General features: G+C 33.9%; 1 protein-coding gene across 10 annotated transcripts in view; it reads left to right on the top strand.

The window, feature by feature from the left end:
• MDGA2 (MAM domain containing glycosylphosphatidylinositol anchor 2) overlaps positions 1-19,619 on the top strand; it is an 835,983-nt gene that overhangs the window by 624,098 nt on the left and 192,266 nt on the right. For 8 of the 10 annotated variants that reach the window (XM_011536519.3, NM_182830.4, XM_047431048.1 and 5 more), the window contains one exon: positions 16,204-16,497. In XM_011536519.3, coding sequence (XP_011534821.1) covers positions 16,204-16,497 — 294 coding nt within the window. Of the gene's footprint in view, positions 1-16,203; positions 16,498-19,619 lie in introns of those variants that run through there. The other 2 variants (XM_011536525.3, XM_047431051.1) reach the window with 2 other exon arrangements.

The following is a 19,619-nucleotide window of genomic DNA, read 5'->3' as shown; positions in this document are numbered from 1 at the left end:
TGATTATTTTTCATTCAACATTGTTAGATATCAGTGAGGTTTGGAAAAGGGATGAGAAAAATTTAGAAAAACTTGAATTTGGGTTTTGATGGTGCCTTTATGGAACATGTGGTGTGTTCTAAATATCTATTCTTAATTTAAAAAGAAAATAAAAGATTACTGGGACAGGTCTCCACATATTTGTTTCATAAAACAATTTTAAAAGATAACCTACATGTCTTAATTATTAGCACGGATTTAAAATACTGAGGGCTTATTGATGACCTAATGCCTTTCATTTTATAGAGAAGGAAATAGACCCCAGAAGCATATATACTGTGTTCACTTCCACCTGACTTGACCTTGAAATCTCAGATTTCAAATCCAGTATGAAAGCTTGCAGCATGCCTTAAAATCTTAGATTAAATGAATATTTCCCTTTATTATCTCAGGCATTTCAAATATTCAGTCATATCCCTTTGACAAAGGCCTTGCAAGAAATGGTCATTGTTGACAGGTGTTGCAATATTCTAGAAGTGATTCAGGTAACATTCTAGTTGGATCATGTGATGACTTATTCTGTTGATCATGGGGCACAAGATTATCAGAGCCATATTCCAAGGATGCCACTCCAAAAAGTGTTAGGATGTTAGAGTCTCCTTGCCAGTCCCATATCCCGCTCCCAAAAGTTGGGAGAGATCTTACTTATTCTCACCAATGCAAGTATCTTTAATAGTATTTATTTCACCATGGAAGACCATATTCAACATCATGCTACATTAAAATTTCTTTAGTTCAGATCAAGATGATACTTGCCTTCTCCTAGCTGCCTGAAAACAGTGGACCCATGGTTTGGGTTTCTAAATTGCTATCTAACTGCAACTGGAGTGGATACACATGAGTAGCATTATATTAACAGCATCACTAGTATATACAATAAAATTTACAGCACACAAATGAAGGTCACATTGTTTATGGTGAATTATTTTTTCAACTCTTATTTCAGTGTATAACAGAAACACAGAAAAATGCATAAATTGTAAGCATGCAGTTTTGTGAACACCCATGTCAACACCAAATTTAAGATACAAAGTGTTGCCATATGCTGAAGTATTTCAAAGTAAGTTACAAGTAGACAGAAAATCTAAGGTGTTTGGAATGCTTCTTACATTCTCATTGCTAGGTTAAACACTTTACAGTTGGTATTTCACTGACGCCTCAGGACACCATTTAAGCAGATTTTGTGATTATATTCATTTTACGTATGAGAAGCTTAAGCTGTAGAAAGCGTAGGCCTGACTTTTATTGACACCACAGTTACTAAGTAGTGACATACAGTGTTGAACATAGGTGAATTCTGGCTGAAGAACCTTGGTTCTTTACACAGAACACACAGTCTTTCAGTGGAATGGGCTCAAGTAATGAGATTTTAGGCTCCAGAGATACACTCTGAGAAATGTATTTTTGATGAGGGAATCCATTTTAGAAACCTCAAATCACATTGTATCTGCCTTCTGACCTATTTGACTAAGGAATTGGAGCCTGGCAAGTCCTGTTGGGTGAAATTTAGCCCAAGAGGATGCTGAGGATCAGGGCCAAAAGCTTTAGAAAAGGTTGCAGAGCAATGATTTGCAGGGGAGGGAAAGAGTTGAGAACAGTGGAATCCTCTCCAAGTATATGATGGGTAAAGAAATCAGAATTTCCCAAATTTTATAGGTGTTCTGTCAGCAATAATGACTAGACCAAAAATATGTGAAAAGAGAAGACTGCCACTGCACTTTTGAAAACATTCTATGCAGAATATGAAAGGAAATACAGTCAGCCCTCTATATATAGGGTTTCTACATCCATGAATTCAATCAATCTTGAACTGTGCTCACTGTGTGACAGGATCATTCCTACCCCAGAGATCAGCATCATGGAATATACTCATGTAACAAAACTGCATATGTACCCCTTGAGTCTAAAATAAAAGTCGAAATTATAAAAAAATATTCAGAAGAAAAAACAATTAAAAATACAACAATAAAAATTATACAAATAAAAACTAATATAGTACTACTATTAAATAGCATTTACATTGTATTAGATATTATAACTAATCTAGAGATTTTTTAACATGTGTGGGAAGATGAGATAGGTTATATGCAAATACTATGCCATTTTATATAAGGGACTTGAAAACCTACAGATTTTGGTATCTGATGTGGTCTGGAACCAATACCTTCCCCCACCTCCATCTCCATGTCCTGTGAATATCAAGGAAGAATTGTATCTGTATGCTGGTAATTTAAGTATGTGAAGTAGAAATAATAAAATGACAAGCAGTTTAAATGTCGATGTCTAAAATGCATTTGGCATGAATGACAGTCCACTGTAAATGAAACGTAAGTAGTCCACTTTTACCATGGCTTTCTAAATAATACTTGTAAACAAAATAGATATAGTTGACATTTAAACAGAAATGTCCTTTCTTGGGAATAAAATGCAATGTAAAACCATATTTAAAAAATTGTATTAAACTCTTCACACGTATTAGTCCAGAATGAGTTATCTATCATTCCAATCAATCACATTATATAAGTTTTTATGTGGTTTTAAAATTAGGTCCATATGTTTATTGTAAACTTCTGTATACTTCTACAGACTAGCAGAATGGTTTGTAGAATGCAATCATGCTTCAGTAGAATATTTGTTAATAAGGCCTTCATGCAGCTATAAGAAGACACTCCTTTTTTAATTAGTTATCTATTAACGGATCTGTTAATTAAACCTCATTTGCTCTAAAGAACATGTGACCCTGATCTGTTGATGGAACATTGTGTTCACTGGTTGTTTCATTTTGCTCTTGACAAAAGATGAGAGAGCCAGCTTCGTTTTATGTCAAAATGTTTATTAAGGTGGCAGTAGTGTCTATTTCTACAGGATAAGGCATATTCAGTGGTATACAATCAGTGGTGTAATTAGGGAATTTGTAAAACAGGCATTGTCCAGGGTGATCATTTATAAGAGAGCTAACAATGTCACATGGGTTCTACAAGGAGACAAATGGCCTTTTTATTGCAGAAGTAATAAAATTTTGATTTTTTCTGGCCATTCTGCGTTGAGGATTTTACCACTGTGAGCAACAGTTGCTCCAGAAGGTAAAATAAATTGTGAATTACTTTAAAGCATCTTTCTTTTTCAATGCTTTTATAAAATGCCTTTGATGTATAATTTATGGCTTATCTTCCTTTTAATTTAGAATTCCTTTATCCACCAGAAAGCAATAACATAATTAACATGATCAGACAGTTCCTTATAACTTACTAGTCCCTGGTTTTCATGGCAACACCCTGACCTTTGTAAAAATGGACAGCACTGACATTTTGTTATCCTTGTAAGGGAGGAGTAGATGTATATAGGGATGTCCAAAACTCGTTATTTCATAGAAATAGAATGAGAGCTGAGATATCTGTATTATGTGCCATTTTGTTATAGTAACCAAACATATAGATCAAATTATTATGTCTAATGGGAGACAAATGCAATCTTCTTTCCTTGGATGGCTTTGGGGGAATGCCTCTGACTATTCAGATTAGAAAAGGTTTATTCCTGTCTTTTCTAAAATGTCATTTTCTTCAAATAGTATCCTCATGTAAAATGCATATGTGTCTCCTGGACAACAGACAACAGCAATAAAATTTATTTATATAGGTATAAATATATTTATATATTTGAATTATATAAACCTTTGTTTGACCGTGTAAGTACCTATCCTCAGTACTCGAGACATCATAAGTATGAATAAAACAAAATCTATATAGAAATGTATGCATAATAATAAAGTATGGTTATTGATACACAACGTACAGTGATAAGAAAACATAGTAATAACTAACATATTAATATATGGAGTGTTTACTATATGCCATACCTTGGCTTAAGAGGTTATGAGTGTTAAAAAATGTGAAGTAGGTACGATTATGCTCACTTTACGTAAACTGAAAGGTGCAGACTTGCCTACTTTCCCAAGTATACCCAGCTAGTAGGTGATAGAGCTAGGAACTGAATCTAGGCAGCCAGACATAAGCCTTGCTCTTTACAAATATATTACAAAATTCAAAGTGTTTAGAGGACACTTTCATGAGCATTGTGCCATTTTTTCATTACTCATTAAATTCTTATTTTCATCAGCTTAATTTGCAGATAAGAAAACTAAAATTAAGAAATCCCTTTGCCAAGGTTACACAGCTAGTATGTGGATTACAACCTGAGCCCAGGTCAAATTTCTAATCTTGTAAATTTACAAGTCTTCCAAACTCTCCATGGTTATTAAAAAAATCCTTTAATTTGGAAATAATAATTAGCAACCATCAGCTACAAGAAGCCTTACTTCTTGTGAAGTGTAGGTCTTGTGAAATATAAATATATGTTTTCACAATATATAGTGTAATTCTTGAAGATAATGAATAGCCAAATTTATCAGTCTTGCCCCTAGTCCTAGGCATATTTGTCTATTGAAGGGAATCAAAAATGTATATTAAAATAAATTGGTATTATCTCTAACATTGGGTACAAATTGTAACATATGTGGCTCTGCTTTTGTTACTCCCAGAGTAGTTGCTATTAATTTAAAGGATAACGCATTTGTGTAAATGTATATAAGTGTATTTGGATAAATCATGGCACCATTTCTAAGAGCAAGTAGGCAAGGATGCAAATATATTATGGAATATAAGAACTGTAGGAATTTGGGAATCGTAGTTGGCTTTTTAGCTATAGGATCCTCCTGCCTATTATTAGTAGTTTGTATAATAAACTGTTTGGAGTGCAGTATTCAACTTTTAAGGTTAAAATTCTTTATCAACTGCTTATACATAAATACAGTTTTCCAGATTTACTCTGCATTATTTTATTTATATTTATTTATTTATTTATTTATTTTTATTATACTTTAAGTTCTAGGGTACATGTGCACAACATGCAGGTTTGTTACATATGTACACATGTGCCATGTTGGTGTGCTGCACCCATTAACTCATCATTTACATTAGGTATATCCCTGATGTTTTCCCTCCCCTCTCCCCCAACCCCATGACAGGCCCTGGTATGTGATGTTCCCCTACCTGTGTCCAAGTATTGTCATTGTTTAATTCCCACCTATGAGTGAGAACAACTCTGCATTATTTTAAAAAATAACAAACATGAACTAAAACTTGATTAAGAAAGTTAATTTGAGGAATTGGTTTCTAGTTCTCAGAAATGGTTATAGGTTGACTAGTTCTTCATCGAATGACCTAGCCATTTCTTAGTAAATGAATATCTCAGCCCTTTACTTGATGTTTTGCATCTTATCATACCCCCTTTCTTTTATTTACTTTATTATTATTATTATCATACTTTAAGTTTTAGGGTACATGTGCACAATGTGCAGGTTTGTTACATATGTATACATGTGCCATGTTGGTGTGCTGCACCCATTAACTCGTCATTTAGCATTAGGTATATCACCTAATGCTATCCCTCCCCCCTCCCCACACCCCACAACAGTCCCCGGTGTGTGATGTTCCCCCTTTTTTTTTGAGACCGAGTCTCACCCTGTTGCCCAGGCTGGAGTGCAGTGGCACAATCTCGGCTCATTGCAACATCTGCCTCCCAGGTTCAAATGATTCTCCTGCCTCAGCCTCCCAAGTAGCTGTGATTACAGGCGCCCGCCACCACGCCCGGCTAATTTTTGTATTTTTAGTAGAGACAAGGTTACTGCATGTTGGCCAGGCTGGTCTCAAACTCCTGACCTCAGGTGATCCACCCACCTTGGCCTTCCAAAGTGCTGGAATTACAGGCGTGAATCACTGCGCCTGCCCCCCCTTTCTTGTTATAGCAAATCCAGTGTTTCTTTTGTAGAGTCCCTATTCCCTCCAACATTCTCAATCTAATACATATTTGTTGCTTACTACAATTTTGACATAATTCTTTAACAAGCTGAAATATCTTGCTCCTGTTTACTTAGTTGTTTCAGAAAAAAAAAGTTTTCCACATGTGAGACTTTATATACTTAATTAGTGTTTATTATTTATTTATGTATTTTAGTATGTGAGAAACATACAAGTCATGGAGGTTAAAAAAAGAAAGAACTATTTGCTTTTATTTTTTTTCCAAAGAGTTTAGGACATTCTCTTAAGAGATTTATTTTAATTATTCTAAAAAATATTTTATTATATGCTCAAGTTAGAAAACCAAATTATATGAAAATCATAACAATTCAAGATACTTGAAATCTTAGCCAAATCGTACCTTAGCAACCTTAGCTGAAGTCCCATTCACTTATCTGTTCATGAGGCAGCAAGAATAGAACCTGTGTTTATTTGCAACTGGTCTTGTAGCTTGAGTAGCAGGGAAAATATGAATGCCATGCAGAGAATGATTTTCTATTTTGTTCTTTCATCTTACACTTTGTATTCTATTGAATCCCTCAGAGACTATTCTTATGCCATAGCAACACCTGCTGGGTGAGGGAAGTTGGAACAGCCACAACTGTTGCCTGCCAAACCTGTTTTCCTGATTGAATGGCACTGCATGCTCCCCATCTCCAATACCAAACCTTTTAGAGTTGCTACCCTCCAGGAACCTATTTCTCCCCATATGTTTCAAGTAATGAACAATGCCGTTCTAATAAGATTTCCCCATTTCTTTCAAAAATAGTCATTATGTATGTGTGTGTATGCGTGGACATTTCCCCTTAGAACTTCCAAATGCACATGCTGTGGTATTTTAACCTCATGTTTGTTTTTAATGTGGGCTTTCTTCCTGTTCAATTGCTAGATTTGTAAACATTGTCAATCCTGTTTAGTTAGCATTTTCTGATTTACTATGTGTGAGGTACTTAAAAGTGTGTGTCAGTGTGAAAAAAGGCAGTTTTTATTTACAGAGTGTGATAAGAGATGTATTATGCTTATTCATATTATGGACAAAAACGGTAGGCATACTATCTGGTGTGAAGACATATTTATAAATGCTTGTTTCACATAGGAAACATTTACACACAGGACTGCAAGTAATACAAGTCTTAGAATATAGATCCACATGGACATTCTATCATAGGGCCAACTAGCCTTTCCTTTACTGCTGATTGAGGAAAGTCATGGAGTGGACAAATTACTCAATATTACCAAGTGCTTCCAATATTTTAGTGTATTATTTCTACCTCCTTGCATCATTACTGTATCCAAATCAAAGTCTAGTAGATGTACTAACATTATAAAAATCTATTGTTTTTTGGTGGATGTTTAAAATTAAAAAATAAAAGAGTTCATATATGAAAAATGATCTTGAAATTTATATGCTTTATAATTAAGCCTTGGATAATCAAGAGCTGATTATTAATCAATGGTTTTCTTACTTTGGTTGCTTAGTAACCTTGATTTGTGCTCTATCAATCAATCAAGAACTTATTAAGCACCTTGAAAAAAAAAAACCTTTAAAATGTTACATGATGTGGGAGCTACTGAAGAAATAGAAAAACCCTGATGCTTACATCAGGACATTTTCGTTACATATGTAAGTGCACATTTCGTCATGACATGTACAGAATAAATTGGGCATGCTCTAATTCAGAGACATGGAAGATGAATAAAAGATGCAGAAATCAGAAAAGAGTAAATAGAACAAGAAACTTAAATTGGACCTTAAAGAATGTAACAATCATTGGTTGGGAGGTCAAACTCATTCCTGAAGAGAAGAAAGGAAGGAAGGTGAGGCAATGGGAATAAGTCAAGTATGTTAAGCAGTTGAAAAGACCAGCCTCAATTGAATAGAGAGCTTTCCACAGAAACACTGTGGCTTATTAAGGTTTGACAAATAAGATGGAAAACAAGCAGTGGGATTTAGACCTTCTGTTCTGGTAAATGGGAAACTACTGTAGATATTGAAATAATATAGTGACATGATTTTTAAGAAATAGTAATTGAGAAATGGTAAATAATATTTTTTAGATGAAGAAGAGACATTAGTCAATCAGATCTTAGTAATTCATTTAAAAGGGGAAGGACAACCCAGAAGGACATGTAACAATATAATATTATTATATCAACCTATGGCTCAGGGAAGTTCTGCATATTTTCAAACCACCACCACACACAAAAAAATTTAGGTGCTGCATATTATATAACTCAACATGTTAACTTCATATTTTTATATACTAAGAATTGTTTCTAGTAAGTATCCAATAGCAACCTTTATTCCTTTAATAAGAAATGAGCTGTAGTTTAGCCACCTTCCATCAAACCGTGTGTTGCCTATCATGATCTCTAAAAGGAAGCAAATATCAGCAGGTCCATTAATAAATGAGGAATGTCTAGCATGTTGGATTTTTTTTGTCATCCTGAACATCTCTCAAGCACACATTACTGTATTTTAAAAATTGACACGCGGTTATAATCATACTGGAAATGGGTCAAGCATATTAGTTTAAAAGGTATTATTCAGACTTGGAATGGAATTATTTTTGAATAGAATGAAATTCTCAAATTTGCCTTGTATCATTATATGAATATTTTCCAGTGGCCACTGACAATTGGTGTTCTTATAAATTTTGTATTTTAAGGCAATTCTTCTAAATCTTAGTGGTGTGTTCACATCATCTGTGAGGTATATGATAATTATAATATTTCAAATATTAATGTATGGAGGTTTTAAAATACAGATTAGAGTCATGACATTATTCTCACTTACACTGAATGTACTTTCTTGAATGAAAGAGAAATGAGTGGAGTTACAACAAGCATACTGACAATTTCACTTAACCAGAGGCTTATCTTACTTATCCTGTTGTGAGCTATCATTAGTGATGTGCCATTGACAGTTGTTGCAAACGCAAATTATTTAGTTCTTTGCTTCTATGTAAAACTACTTTGTGACTTCTCAAAACTTCAAAATCCGAGTATATCCATGTGCATGTCTCATGCTTATGAAGCCAATCTGTAAATGTGCTAGCAAAGAAGAGATGGAGGACTGCTGACACAAACACTGAAACAGCACTCAAGTGTGATAGAATATCTTTCCTTTAAAACTGTGCTCTGAAATGAAGATGTTGCTTACCTTGGAGTCTCAATCAGATCACCAAAGATGAAACTCATCAAATCTACAGCAATTTTTTTAACCCATCTCTTGTTTTGAAGACACGCACCTGCATGCGTGTGCATACACACACACACACACACAAAAAAAAAAAAAAAACATAGATTTGGTTCATTTGGATTATTTGCATCTACAAATTTACTACTTACTTTAGTCCTACTTTTTTACATTTGTTTATATCTGGTCAGGATGAGAATTATTGAATTCTGTTCTCTAAGGGTAACTTTCATAAACATAGTATCTCTGAAGTTTTATTTATTTATATGTTAAATATAGACTATACATTCTACTCGAGAACATACATATCTTTTATAAAGTACTTCCCTCCAAAATTCAGGTGTAATTGAATTAGTGCCATGCTTATTTTAAGATTCTTGGAAATATGAGTCTGATTGTCTTTTGGAAGAAAATTATATTATTTATTACTGAGCTTCTTATGATTCTTATATTGAAAGAAATATAGCTTTTGTTTCAATATCTACTATTAAAGTGCACTACAGTCATATTTTTAAACCAATAATTCCATTAAAAGCACATTCAGATGTCTTTGTTTCAGACAGCATGATATTTTTCCACATAGTTCAAATGAACTAAACTTCTGCATTCTTTTAAGCCATTTTCTAAGTAAAGAATAAAGATAAAATTTTCTCAGCTGCCTTCCCAATGAAGAAATGAAAATATTTTCTTTTTCTATATTTGCTTCATTTTACAGTCTGTGATCAGTGGAAAAGTTGACAGAAAAGCAATGTGTTCAAATCATTTGTCTATTTATTTACGTTTGGAATGAGAAACTTTGGTGTCATATCATGTTTTTCCAGTTTCTCTGATTATAACATCTCCTGCAGTAGTATTTCAGGCAAAAAAATATCAAGGGCTGTGTATAGACTATATACACATATATACTGTAACATATATACTATATGTTAGAGAATGTATCTGCATTTTTATTAGGAGTGACTTTTTCTAGCAAGTACATTGCATAAATGGGGATCTTACATGGTATAGACATTTCAAATATTTATGCTAAATTTGATACGTTTTCATTATGAGACAATTTTTTTAAATAATTTGATTTAAGACCTAAAAACCAAATGATAAAATTAAATTTCATGTCTTCAAATTGCCTCTTTCCTCTGTTTTTTTAAAAAATAATTCATAACTTATCTATTCAAATATTTAAATGAAAGAAAAAAGAGAACTGGAAGAGTCTTTTCTTGACTTCCTTAACTTTTTCACACACCCACACATCTCAAGATCTGCATCAGAAGTATATTCTAACAATATATTTTGCATAAGATTATGCTACTTGTAGGAGCTACTAATTGTAGAATTACTATATTTCATTATTATTTATCACATTTGTTCCAAAATATACATGATTCATATTGATTATGTTTATCTCTATTATCTATTATTTTGATAGCTTTTTATTTTCCTATGTTCCTACCATCTTCTTCTGCTCTGCCTTTCTTTCTTTCTCAATTGTTTCACAACTTTCTTATCTGTGCCAAACAGGAAAGCAAGACACTAGACTTTAGAGACAGATTAAGGCTCTGTGCCCTTAAGGAGCTGCCTGGTCAGGGATATAAACATAGAAGAAAATACAGGACAAAGTCACAAGGACAGGTTAAATGGGTAAAACATACAACGTAGTGTGTAGTCAGGAAGAGTAAGTAACCAGGTCAGCCTGGATTTACAAAGGGAATAACATTTGAACTGAGTTTCAACACATGGGGCAGACAGAGGGTGCTAGAAGACAGCAAGAGCCAGACACTCTGACCATGGAAAAGAACTGCTCATTCAAGGGCTCAGAGGTTAACTAGTTGGTGAAACTTCAGTAAAGGAGTGTTAACAGGAGTTAGTGATTTTGGAAGAGCATTTCTCAGTCTATGTTTTCAGAACATCATTTCCAGAGTGATACATTTGTGTTATAAAATGTGAAGTTTTCATTGAATGAGTTTTGGGAAATAGATTGAATTAACATTTTAAAAATTTCTGGGCTTCTTGGGCCCTGTAATATGTTATTATGCACTATATATATTGTTTAATCAGTAAAAAAAAGAGGGAAATAAAGAAAATAAAATTTATCAGTAATCCCACACTCTAGAGAGAACCGCTGTTAGTGTTCTGGTATAGTTCTTTCTAGGATTTCTTTTCCTCTAGACTTTTCCCCATGTAAGTCTCCTCTTCCCTGAATTAGTGCCCAATTACCTTGCTATTTAATGTATATATTAGGTGTAAAATTTTGTACTGTGTTTCTCTATGTGAGAGATGGTATGCTAGATGGTAACAATGTAAAGACAGAGCATGTATAGCCTACCCTTCAAGAAGCTCCCTGTTAACATTCATTGAAAATTTTTTTAAAATAAATTTTATTGTATATATTTGAGGATTACAACATGATATTATGGGATACATATGGATAGTAAGATGGTTGCTATAGTGAAGCAAGTTAACATATTCCTTATCTTGCATAGTTACTTGTGTGTGTGTGTGTGAGAGAGAGCCAAGAGAGCTAATATGTAGTTATTTAATATATAAAAATTAGATACAACTGTTTATACTGAACAGTAACATGTTTTACACACTGAATAATAGTCATTATAGCTATTTATACTACTTGCTAACATGCTTTTCCCACTTAATATAAATGTCTTATCAATAAATATAGGTCTATTACATCATCATTTAAAAAGACTGTGTCATATTCTATTGTTCAACTGTTTTATGATTTATTTAACAACTCCATTAAGCTGTTTTCAGGTTGTTGTTTTTTAAATTAAACCAGTGTTGTGACAAGCACTCTCATTGAGGTTTGTAGTCTTCATACTGACATGAACAAAACTGTTTATGATGATAAAGCTTAGGGCAGCAGGAAGCCTGGAAGAATGAGGCTAGTGACAGAGAGACCACTTAGGATGCTGTCACAAGAAGATAAAATGATGACTTCTACTGAGAAAACTGCCTATGGCCATGAAAAGAAACAGGCAGATATGAGACATAGTTTTAAATAAAGAAATAACAAGATTTGATGGCTGTTTTGAAGTGGTGGACAAGAGGAAATGGTGAAACAAATAATACTGTATGGTTTTCAATTAATAGATGGAATCTGTTGAAATTAACTATTAACCAAGTCAAGAAATAAAATGGTGCTTAGGCTTGAAAGACTTTTGGAATATAAAGATAGGCTGCAATTATGAGCCATTGGAATAAAGTTATAATTTGTTATTATCAACACGTAAAACAGAAGTCTATGAGAACAAATGAGATCTCTCAACAGAAAAAATTATAAGAACAATTAAGAGAGTTGAGTAATTCTTAGAGATAGAAAATTTAGTGGGGACAGAAAGATAGAAAAACATATAACAGGTTTGAGAAATTATACAGTCTTTTTGGCCAGGAGAGTTGTAGGGAAAGGTTAACCCTGACTTCTAGATTTAAAATCTATTTTTTTTTTTTTTTGAGATGGAGTCTCACTCCGTTGCCCAGGCTGGAGTGCAGTGGTATGATCTTGGCTCACTGCAGCCTCCACCTCCTGAGTTCAAACAATTCTCCTGCCTGAGCCCCTAAGCCTCCAGAGTAGCTAGGACTCCAGGCGCCCACTGCCACGCCCGACTAATTTTTTTTTTTTGTATTTTTAGTAGAGATGGGGTTTACCGTGTTGACCAGGATGGTCTTGATCTCCTGACTTTGTGATCTGCCCTCCTCGGCCGCCCAAAGTACTGGAATTATAGGCATGAGCCACCGCATCTAGCCTAGGAAGAGACAGATATTAAATAATCTTTTAGCTAGATTTTGCTATTTTGTAAAACCTGGGCTAATTTATCTAAAAATCAATTTTTATGTTATTGAGATTAAAATTGAGGTTTATATTTCTGTAACTTTAATTCAGCAGGGAGGAAAGTTTATCTAAATACATGAAAAACATAAACAAATTTTAAAAGGGATATTTGAAATATTTAGCATGATAACATTTAAAAAAATTATAGTCAATAATCTATTGTGATTTGAACGGTCTAATGTAATAAGTTGTTTAAATATCCATTTTATTAAGTTAGGAAATAAATACTATCTTTTGACACCACTTCTCTTTTTAACTTTTTACTATTCATTCTTGTAATCAGAACATCAATAACGTTGAGGCTAATAAAGTACAAATTCTTAGTTTCAAAAATGGTAAGGCTGAGCACGGTGGCTCACGCTTGTAATCTCAGCACTTTGGGAGGCCGAGGAGGGTAGATCACCTAAGATCGGGAGTTTGAGACCAGCCTGGTCAACATGGTGAAACCCTGACTCTACTAAAAATATGAAAAAATTAGCTGGGTGTGGTGGTGCACACCTGTAATCCCAGCTACTCAGGAGGCTGAGGCAGAACAATCACTTGAACCCGGGAGGCAGAGGTTGCACTGAGCAGAGATTGCACCACTGCACCCCAGCCTGGGCAACAGAGCGAGACTCCATCTCAAAACAACAACATCAACAAAAGGTAAAATTAATACAGACGGTGTTTTGGTTGGCCAAGGTCAGGTAGCTTGTTTTTGGAACAGATATGGATTGTATATTTCAAGTAATAACCCTCCATTAGTCTTTAAAGTTATACATTTTTTATTTATTTTACACAGATTTATCTAAATTTGGATATTTATTTTGAGGTTGGTATATCTTATAAGCAGTTTTGACATGTGAAACATATTCAGATATAGATGATTGAGGTATTTATTTAAGAAATATAGATGTTGGCCTTATCCACTGTGATAGCAATAATAAATGACTAAAGAAATCAATAAGAGGATAAAAGAAAGAAAAGATAATTTGCAAAATACTTACTGTATACTCCCTCACATTCATCTCTACTCTTTCATATTTGAAACAGTGACCAAGTGACAGGCAGGGATTTTGTCCAATTTGTCATGAGCAGGAAGAGAGGAGTCTATTGCTAACGCTCAAAAGTTATTAATTCCAGATACCATTGTTTATTGAACCTGCTTCAGTATTCATATCTTTACATTAGCTACCTGCTATAAGTTAGTTTTTGTTTGTATTCTGTTCAAATTGAAGTATTTATTATCTGTTATTCTCAATGTTCTTAATTGTTTATTTTAATATTAAATATTTGGTCCTTAAGATTATCAAGGGGGTTTAAATGAAAGCATAAAATCCTTAATTGTGCCTGTCACATAGTAGGGGGATAATAAATGTTAAATGCTGAGGTTATTCTGCACCCTTTCCCATGGAGGGTGAATAAGTGTCACAGTTCCATTCCAATCCCATTGTCTGAGCATGCTGCTTAGATTTTAATTACATCATTCACTTCAAAAAGAACAAATACTTTGCCAAAATTATTTAATTGTTTATGTATACCAGAACAAATTACCCATTTGGGTTTATAAAATGGAGCCGTTTTAAACATATATTTTGTTAATGTCAATTTCTAGGATGTATATATCTACTTCAAAATGGTGGTGGTGAATAGTTCATATTGTTTAAATTCTAAGACGTTATGCATTATGTAATTAGTGTTTTAAACAATAAGTGAAGGAATTAAATGAAAAAGTGAATTGAAGATATTTGAATAGGAAGATAATTGTCATATCACTTTGAACTTGAATTTATTTGTCTCTATAATGAGGAAAACAACATTTCAAAATTAGTTGAAAAATAATTTTAAACATAATTATGTTTGGTTTTGTACCTGGGCAGTGGGCCATAATCAAACTAGAAGGAAGAGTAAAACCTTTCACTTTTCATTCATGTGCAGTACTACTTCCAAAGGGAACATATAACATTTATCGGAAGGATAGAATTATTCATGTTTCTGGTTATTCGTATTTATAGCATTCTATTTAGCTTGTGCTTTTTTGATAGATGTTCTACTGCACAAATGCATTTGAATTCATATACAATTGTGTAGGAAATAAGAATCTTCCAGTGGAACTAGTGATGTTTGTAAGAAAGATCGTTGTATAGTATTTCCCTCATATCACTTAATGGTTTTCACTAAATTCTAACATAAATATATTTCAGCACAATAAAGTAAGTTACAGTAAAATCAATCTAACTTCTCATAAATATTCTCTGTAAATCAGAAATTAACTTTACTCGAGAAAAATTATAATTCTTTTTTTTTTTTTTTTTTTTTTTGGAGACAGAGTCTGGCTCTGTCGCCCAGGCTGGAGTGCAGTGGTGCAATCTCAACTCACTGCAAGCTCCGCCTCCCGGGTTCACACCATTCTCCTGCCTCAGCCACCCCAGCAGCTGGGACTACAGGCGCCCTCCACCATGCTGGGCTAATTTTTTTGTATTTTTAGTAGAGACGGGGTTTCACCGTGTTAGCCAGGATGGTCTCGATCTCCTGACCTCGTGATCCTCCTGCCTCATTATCCCAAAGTGCTGGGATTACAGGCGTGAGCCACCGCGCAAGACCAAAATTATAATTTTTATATTCGTTGAAATATATTTTGAAGATTTAATTAAAATTAATTTTGTAGAAATATTGGCAATATTATGGCAAACTATTTACAATGACATCAAAATATTATGAAGTGAAATAATAATAAATTCAAATATCACAAAAAATTAAAAGTCCAAAAATGGAGAATAGAATGGATTTTCAAATTGCTTGATTTCACTCCCACTAGGCAAAAAACAAATCCTAAATCTTAGCAATTTGGCAAGTTTTAAACTAGTCAAAACTTTTGATTTTAGATCAGAGGTTTCTCTTTTTCCCTTTCTGACTACTTGCACTTATTGTGACTACTGAGTCTACACAGCTGAATGCTACTCTTCTATGAAATGCAAATGTTAAAGCCCCAGTTAATGGCTAATTATTACAGGTCATTGAGAAGATTATTCTTATATTAACCATTTTTCAATTGAATGCCTTATTTATTTTGCTAATGTTTGAAGTCCTCATTTTAAAATATACAGTGAAAACAATTAAGAATGATTTTCAGTGAGAGTATATTCCATTTATTCCCAAGGTTTTTGATCATCCGAATTGTCACATTTCTTCAGCCAGCAGAAATTGTTTCCTTATGATTTTCTGTATCTGAATATGCTTTACCAGTTTATACTAACCTTGAAAAATTTTCTTTTTCCCATTTCAAGTTCCACCCAATCTGACTGTTCCACAGGAAAAATCACCATTGGTCACCAGAGAAGGAGACACAATAGAACTGCAATGTCAAGTAACTGGCAAACCTAAACCAATCATCCTTTGGTCTAGAGCGGATAAAGAAGTTGCAATGCCTGATGGATCAATGCAAATGGAGAGTTATGATGGAACACTGAGGATTGTGAATGTATCTAGGGAAATGTCAGGAATGTACAGATGTCAGACCAGCCAATACAATGGATTTAACGTGAAACCAAGGGAAGCCTTGGTGCAGCTCATCGTTCAGTGTAAGTAAATTCCCTTTTATGCATTTCCATATGGGGACAAGGGAAGAAGTGTTACCATTATTCTACTATTAATATGAGGTGATTTTTGTAACTAGATTGAATGAACTATTTCTACATTTCTACATTGGATTGAATGAACTATTTCTACATTCTACATTAATGATACACAATTTAAACTATAATCTACCCTAAATGTGCTTTTTGCATGAGCTTATACACACTAATAGAAAGAGTTGTTTTAGTGTGTGTGTGTGTGTGTGTGTGTGTGTGTGTGTGTGTGTATGATAATTATGATGGTGTTATCTGGTTGATGGTGAGAAACTGTCCATGTGCAATAAGCAAAGTGGAGACTGGAAGTAATTGCTAATTCAGGTTGTAATACATGTTTGTTTTCACAGTCCATGTTTTTACTTCAGGCAATTGCATGTCCTTTTCCCAAATTATCTACCTATTTCAAGCATCTCTTTGCTTAAATTATGGAGATCTAATCATTGAAATGTTATATTTGCATACCTGAAGTTGTAACAGTGAATTACGTAATTATCTAGTAATATAGTGATAATTCAGGAAAGTCTTAGGTGCTGAATTTTTGCCTGATTTAATCTTAGCGGGTAATTGTTTTACTCTGAGAATTGAATAAGATACATTTTAAACTATTTTTATATTTTTACTGAAATCACGGTTATAGTTCTAATTAAAAATGTAGATATTATGGACTTTACATTTGATTTTATCATTAAAAATACCTAAATCCACACACTTAATGGTCAATAAAATGTACCAGTGTTACTATTGTTTGGTTTTTACAGAATGCCCTGGTAACTGGGCTGCCCAATGGTAAAGACACTGCTGAAAAAGAAGAAAACTAAACACAATCTACTCAACCTCTGATAGTGCTACTGCAAATTTTAATTGACATACTATTTGTTAAATATACAATATCAAGTTTTCATTAAACAGATGAATTAGGTGAAACCATGCACTTCAATAAACGATGTCATTTTTGTCTGACTCTTTTGTAACTCAGGAAATTGAAAATAGAATTTAGTCCAAGAATGTCTATTTTTATATTAGACTTAAAGTTGTTGGCAGAATGAATGAACTATTTCATATTTGAGAGAATAATTAAAGTATGAGACAAATGTATTTATGCATGAGATATGTGAGTGTGGGGTGAGAGACAAGGTTCTGGGTGCTGCTTAACCATTCCCTGCCCCTCTTCTATAGAACCTCAGATTCCAGATATGCTATTTGTCTTATAAACACGCAAACTGATATTTGCAAACAAATGCCAAATAACCTGGCTGATTTCTAATCGATTATGAGTTTTTTCTCCAAATAAGGCAGGTTTTAGATGTCAGGTTTCATTCAGCAGTTTAATATTGCCTTTTTCTCACTGGCCTCTATACTCATGACAGTCTGTTCATGGGTATGAGGATCATGTGAAAACAGGTTTCAGAAAAAAAGAAAAGAAAGAGAGTGAAACTGCTTCCCATTTTCTAAAAAATGAGATACCCTTAAGTGACCACAAAGGAATTTGATGTAATTTGGAACACTTCAATCTTGTTGGTAAACACAGAATTCTGAGCTGCTTCGAGTTATGCACAAAGCTTCAGTGTTCCTGCAGCTATTAGTGCAATCAGTTTTCACTCTGCTCACTCCTTTCTGCAGAAGCTGATACTAGTAAAACCTACAGAACCCAAATGGCTTTAGCGAACTTCAAATTAAAGTTTCAAGAAATCAGAATCTCTGTTCTCCATAGAATATTCTTAACTCCAGAATTCTATTGATTAACTAAATTTCCTATTTTTTCCTTTCTCCTGCTTCTTAATTAGTCCGCTAGAAAATAAATTCAGCATAAGATTTTAAAATTCAACTCTATAATAGGAATGACAATAAACAGTGGCACAGTTGTCTCTAGTGTGACAGGGATGAACATAATTGAGTAAAAAATACCGATAGACACAGGCAAAGTTTAGTTATTTTAATGTAGGTAAAAATGATACAATTTGTCTGCATCCCAAGGTGACTTCCCAGAGCAGGGGTTATAATCCAACTGCATTTCCTCTCAGAGGAAAACTTCCCTGGCCTGCCCAGGAAGGCAACTGGATGCAGGCAGTCTTGCCAGCTCTAGGTGAGGATCATGTTATCATGGCTTTCAAGGACCTCCCTTCCATATATTTCCAAATCTTCTGAAGAACTTGGTTATATGTCACTATTTTTCAGGTACAAATAACTGGTAACAACTCCAGAATATTCCTGAGTACATCAAAGGTTCATTTTCCAGGCATGTAATCTCTGCCAGCAGATCTTGCCTACATGCCTATCTAAGGCTTATTCTTGCAAAACTAATAGTACAGGAATTCAGATAATGTTTTTAAATTGAAAAACAGTCTAACTTTTATAGTGATTTTTTTAAGAGACAGGGTTTCACTCTGTTGCCCGGGCTGAACTACAGTGGCACGATCATAGCTTACTGCAGCTTTGTTCAGTAAAATCGGGCTCAACCAATGCTTCCACCTCAGCTTCCTGAGTAGCTGGGACTACAAGTGTGCACCTCCATACCTGGCTAATTTTTTAATTTTGTGTAGAGACCGGGTCATGCTATGTTGCTCAGGCTTGTCCCAAACACCTGACTTCAAGCAATCTTCCTGCCTCGGCCTCCCAAACTGTTGAGACTACAGGTACGAGCCACCATGTTCATCCTGATTTTTTTTTAATTTGAAAATAATTTATTTTTTGCTTAACTTGGATACCTGTGCTACATGTAAGAAATATTAATATGGACTATTAAAAACTAAGTTATATCATTCATATGTGGATATACATATGTATACCTCTCTATATATATTTTGTATCATCCTTAGCAATTAAGTCCATCATTGCAGATAACAAGCTATGCTTTATATATTTTGTATTCCCAGCATAATATATTTTACATGATAGCTGTTCAGTAAATTTGTTGTGTAAACACACAAAAAAATGCATGCCTGGTTTGTTAGTCTATTGTTGCACTGCTATAAAGAAATACCTGAGACTGGGTAATTTATAAAGAAAAGAAGTTTAATTGGCTTACAGTTTTGCAGGCTGTATAGGAAGCATGATGCTGATATCTGCTTCTG

The sequence above is a fragment of the Homo sapiens genome, chromosome 14 (genome assembly GCF_000001405.40).
Source record: "Homo sapiens chromosome 14, GRCh38.p14 Primary Assembly".
NCBI lineage: Eukaryota > Metazoa > Chordata > Mammalia > Primates > Hominidae > Homo > Homo sapiens.
The sequence above is the reverse complement of the archived record's forward strand: the minus strand, read 5'-3'. Positions and strand labels throughout refer to the sequence as shown.